The sequence below is a fragment of the Homo sapiens genome, chromosome 6 (assembly GCF_000001405.40).
Source record: "Homo sapiens chromosome 6, GRCh38.p14 Primary Assembly".
NCBI lineage: Eukaryota > Metazoa > Chordata > Mammalia > Primates > Hominidae > Homo > Homo sapiens.
Window position 1 is genome coordinate 115,859,205 of NC_000006.12, and position 4,788 is coordinate 115,863,992.

Consider the following 4,788-nt stretch of genomic DNA (forward strand, 5'->3'; position numbering starts at 1 on the left):
TGCAATCTATCCATCTGACAAAGGACTAATATCCAGAATCAACAAAGGACTTAAACAAATTTACAAGAAAAAAAACAACCCCATCAAAAAGTGGGTGAAGCACATGAGCAGACACTTCGCAAAAGAAGACATACGTGGCATATATGAAAAAAAGCTCATCATCACTGGTCATTAGAGAAATGCAAATCAAAACCACAATGAGATACCATCTCACACCAGTTAGAATGGCGATCATTAAAAAGTCAGGAAACAACAGATGCTGGAGAGGATGTGAAGAAATAGGAACGCTTTTACACGTTGATGGAAGTGTAAATTAGTTCAACCACTGTGGAAGACAGTGTGGTAATTCCTCAAGGATCTAGAACCAGAAATACCATTTGACCCAGCAATCCCACTACTGGGTATATACCCAAAGGATTAGAAATCATTCTGCTATAAAGGCACATGCACACATATGTTTATTGCGCCACCATTCACAATAGCAAACACTTGGAACCAACCCAAATGCCCATCAATGATACACTGGATAAAGAAAATGTGGCACATATACACATGATGGAATACTATGCAGCCATGAAAAATGATGAATTAATGTCCTTTGCAGGGATTTGGATGAAGCTGGACACCATCATTCTCAGCAAACTAACACAGGAACAGAAAACCACAAGTAGGGGTTGAACAATGAGAACACATGGACAACTGGAGGGGAACATCACACATCGGGGCTTGTTGGTGGGTGGGAGGCTAGAGGAGGGATAGCATTAGGAGAAATACCTGATGTAGATGACAGCTTGATGGGTGCAGCAAACCACCATGGCACATATTTACCTATGTAACAAACATGCACGTTCTGCATGTGTATCCCAGAACTTAAAGTATAATTTATAAAAAAAAAAAAAAAAAGTCAATTACTTTCTTGTCAACTAGAGTTATAGGGTAGCGGAGTAGGTAGCAATGTTGACTATTATGTGCTAACACAGCTATTTGGAGAATTTCTCCCTCACTATGAGATTTTACTAATGACATTTAGTAAATTAATAGGTTTAATTCAGTTAAGCAAATAGTAAATAATAATAACAACTTGTTAAAGAATTAAAACAAAGCTCTTTTGCATGGAAATACAGCTCTGCTCCAGGCTATCTTTGACCACTTCTGACAACAAACCCTGTACTCCTATCACCTGTCTTCTCATTCTGCTTTATCACCTTTGTGCCCACTCCTTCACTTGCCTTGGCCACATGTGCCCTCCTCCGTACTGAATCCTCCTTGATTCCCTCAGGCAGAGGGAGTTGCTACTTCCTCCAAGGTTCCATAGCATGTTACAAACTCTTGGTTAAATTTGTGTAATGATTATATCACCATCATCTCAGTAGTTCTGGCAAAACACACCTGAGCTTTTTTTTTCTCACTTGTCTGTTTTATTAATTTCCTATACCCAATTTAATTTTTCTTGCATTTCTACATTCGGTCAATACTTGTTGACTGTTATGTCTAGATCTTCCAAGATCTGTGCTGTCCTCAGCACAATACACTCATAGCTTCCTCATTGTGCCCACTGTCAAAACTCTCTACTCACTTTCCAGGAATCCACAAGTCCAGGCATCAGTTTTTGAAAATGGACTGCTGTTATTTTCAATTTTTAGAACATATAAGCCGGGCACAGTGGCTCAAGTCTGTAATCCCAGCACTTTGGGAGGCTGAGGCGGGTGAATCACCTGAGGTCGGGATTTCGAGACCAGCCTGACCAACGTGGAAATACCCCATCTCTACTAAAAATACAAAATTAGCCGGGCATCATGGCACATGCCTGTAAGCCCAGCTATTTAGGCGGCTGAGGCAGGAGAATCACTTGAAACCGGGAGGCAGAGGTTGCAGTGAGCCAAGATTGCACCATTGCACTCCAGCCTGGGCAACAAGAGCGAAACTGTCTCAAAAAAAAAATTAATTATTTCTTATTCTTTAAAGAGATGAAATTAGAATTCCTTAACATAGCGTAGAAGGCTATTTCTGATCTGACCCTGTCTTATTGTATTTAAGCTCCTATAACAGAACACCATAAGTTGCCTGGCTTATAAGCAACATAAATTTATTTCTCAATGTTCTACAGGCTGGAAAATCCAACATCAAGTTGCCAGCTGATTCAGTGTCTGGTGAGAGCCTGTTTCCTAACTCATAGATGGTGCTTTCTAGCTGTGGACTCATATGGTGGAAGGAGAAAGGGGCCTCTTTGGAGCCTCTTTTACAAAGATACTGATATGGCTTGGCTGTGTTCCCACCCAAAATCTCATCTTGAATTGTGATCCCCATAATCCCCATTTTCAAGGGAGGGACCAGGTGGACGTAATCAGATCATAGGGGCAGTTTCCCCCAAGCTGTCCTCATGATACTGAGTGAGTCTCACAAGATCTGATGGTTTTATAAGTGTCTGGCATTTCCCCTGCTTTTACTTACTCCAGCCTGCCACCCTGTGAATGAGGTGCCTGCTTCTCCTTTGACTTCTGCCACGATTGTAAGTTTCCTGAGGCCTCCCCAGCCATGCTGAACTGTGAGTCAATTAAACCTCTTTCCTTTATAAATTACCCAGTCTCAGGCAGTTCTTTATAGCAGCGTGAGAATGGACTAATACAGATACTAATCCCATTCATGAGAACTCTGTCCTCATGACCTAATAACCTCCTCCTCACAAAAGCTCCCCATACAAATACCATTACATCAGAGACTGGGTTTCCCCATATGAATTTTGGGAGACAAAAATATTCAGTCTATAATAGGCCTTGAAAAGTATCACTGCCAAACTCAGTTTTAATCCATCCCTTGAATACCCTTACTCAAATTCATTCCATTTACTCTTGCCTATAAGCAAGTTCTACCGGGATGGCCCTTTTTCCTTTTTCACACTTTTAAAATCCTGTCATTCTTCAAGACCTTCTACCCCAAACACTACCCCATCCCTCCTCTTCAACTCCTTAATGCCTTTCTCTTCAACCACAATCAGAATTAAGCATTCCTCCTTCTGTGTGCTCCTAATGCTTTGTCACTTTCTCTTCCCAAATGTATGTCCCAGGCCTTGTATTACATTACTTGATAAATAAAATTTAAAATGTCTACATGCTATACCACCTGCTTCTTTCCAGTTGTCTTGTGTTCAATAAAATTATTGTTAAAATAAATTTATTGTAAGATCATTTATCATCCTAAAAGTTTTAAAAAGTAGACTTTGCAATAATTATAATAATACAGAAAATTAAAGGTTTCAACACTAAATGTTTCAGATAAGAATTAGCATTTAATTTACACAGAGTTGCTCTTATACCAGGGCAGAAAGCTCTCTTCCTAAGACAGACTTCTAGTCCAGGCATACCCCTTATGGACAAATAAAGACAGAAATAGAGACACATATACAAGCACAAAATCTATATGTATATTTATTTATATATATAATACATATTCACATATATGTATATGTATACAGATCCAAGACACGTAAGTCATCGCCTCTGGAAAACCCACACCCACCTCATGCCATATTTATCAATGAAATCCAAAAAGAGCTAGGAGTATGGGAAGAACATTACGTGACTGCTAGGGAACCTTCCTGAATATGTGGCTCTGATGATGGCCAAGGGGATCTTAAAATTTTTCCCTCAGCTTGACTAAACTTTATACAGGTTTCTTCCTAACTGCATGTCCCTGACCTCCCTTTTAGAGCATGTACTTGAGAAAACTTGCTATTGTAAATTATTTTTCTGCTCCTTTGAGATGAAATCTCACAGCCTCTTGCCAGTTTACAACCCAGAAGGGTCTTTCTCAAGGACCGGGCAGCCTTTCCTTTGAAATGTAATCATCAAGAAACATAGTATTCCTATCTCCTAATCTCAATAAAAGGGTAGAAACCTAACTTTAATAAGCACCAATTAGCAAACAGATGGCCTAATACATGGACCAACCTCTCTGGTAGTATCCTCCGGTGCTTTTTCACTGGCTTATCCCAGCACTTAGAAATTCTCAGAACTTTTGTTTCAGTGGAGTTCAGTTCAATCTCTTTCATCTTGAAAGTCTTGAACCCTGTTGTAATAGTCTTAAACAAAGTCCTCCATGCCTGTTTCACTTGTCCAGTGCAATTTTTCTCTGACATAACAAGCTGAGCAAGCCAGTGCACTGCTGCTGCCCAGTTAAGTGAGAAGAGTTTTAATGTGTCATCCTCTATTATCCTTTGATAAGAGTTAAACTGGAATGGCAGGTTGTTAATGTTCATCCTCTCTATGATCCTATGACCATATGCAAAGGATAAATGGGAAAAAAAGGAATCCTACCTTATTGTTTCTGGGGATTAAATTCAATTGAAAAAATAGTTTCAAAAATACTAATGGTAATTTGTGCTGAAGGAATTAGTTGTATTCCACTTCTCTCCTCTTTCATAGAATCTGTCTATAAATATAACTATCTCTTTCTTACACTAATGCCATAATAATTGATTATATCTGGGTGCTTGAGGAAAGCATGTTTGATTTACTTTTAACTGAGTTTTACAGTTTAGGGGAAGAGAATGGCATCATTAATTTACAAGACAGCATAGTTGTGTGACTTTCCATAATTCCTAAAATATATTTCCCCAACCATTACATTAGGATACTCTAGCCCATTTTCTTCCAATGTCTATAGTATCAAACAAAGAGTAAAGAGTAAGTTATGAGACCAGGCATGTTAATACTAATGCTCAGCAATTTGGAAGAGTTCAGGTATAAAACCAACAAACAAGATAGAGACAAAATATATTCAAAATAATAT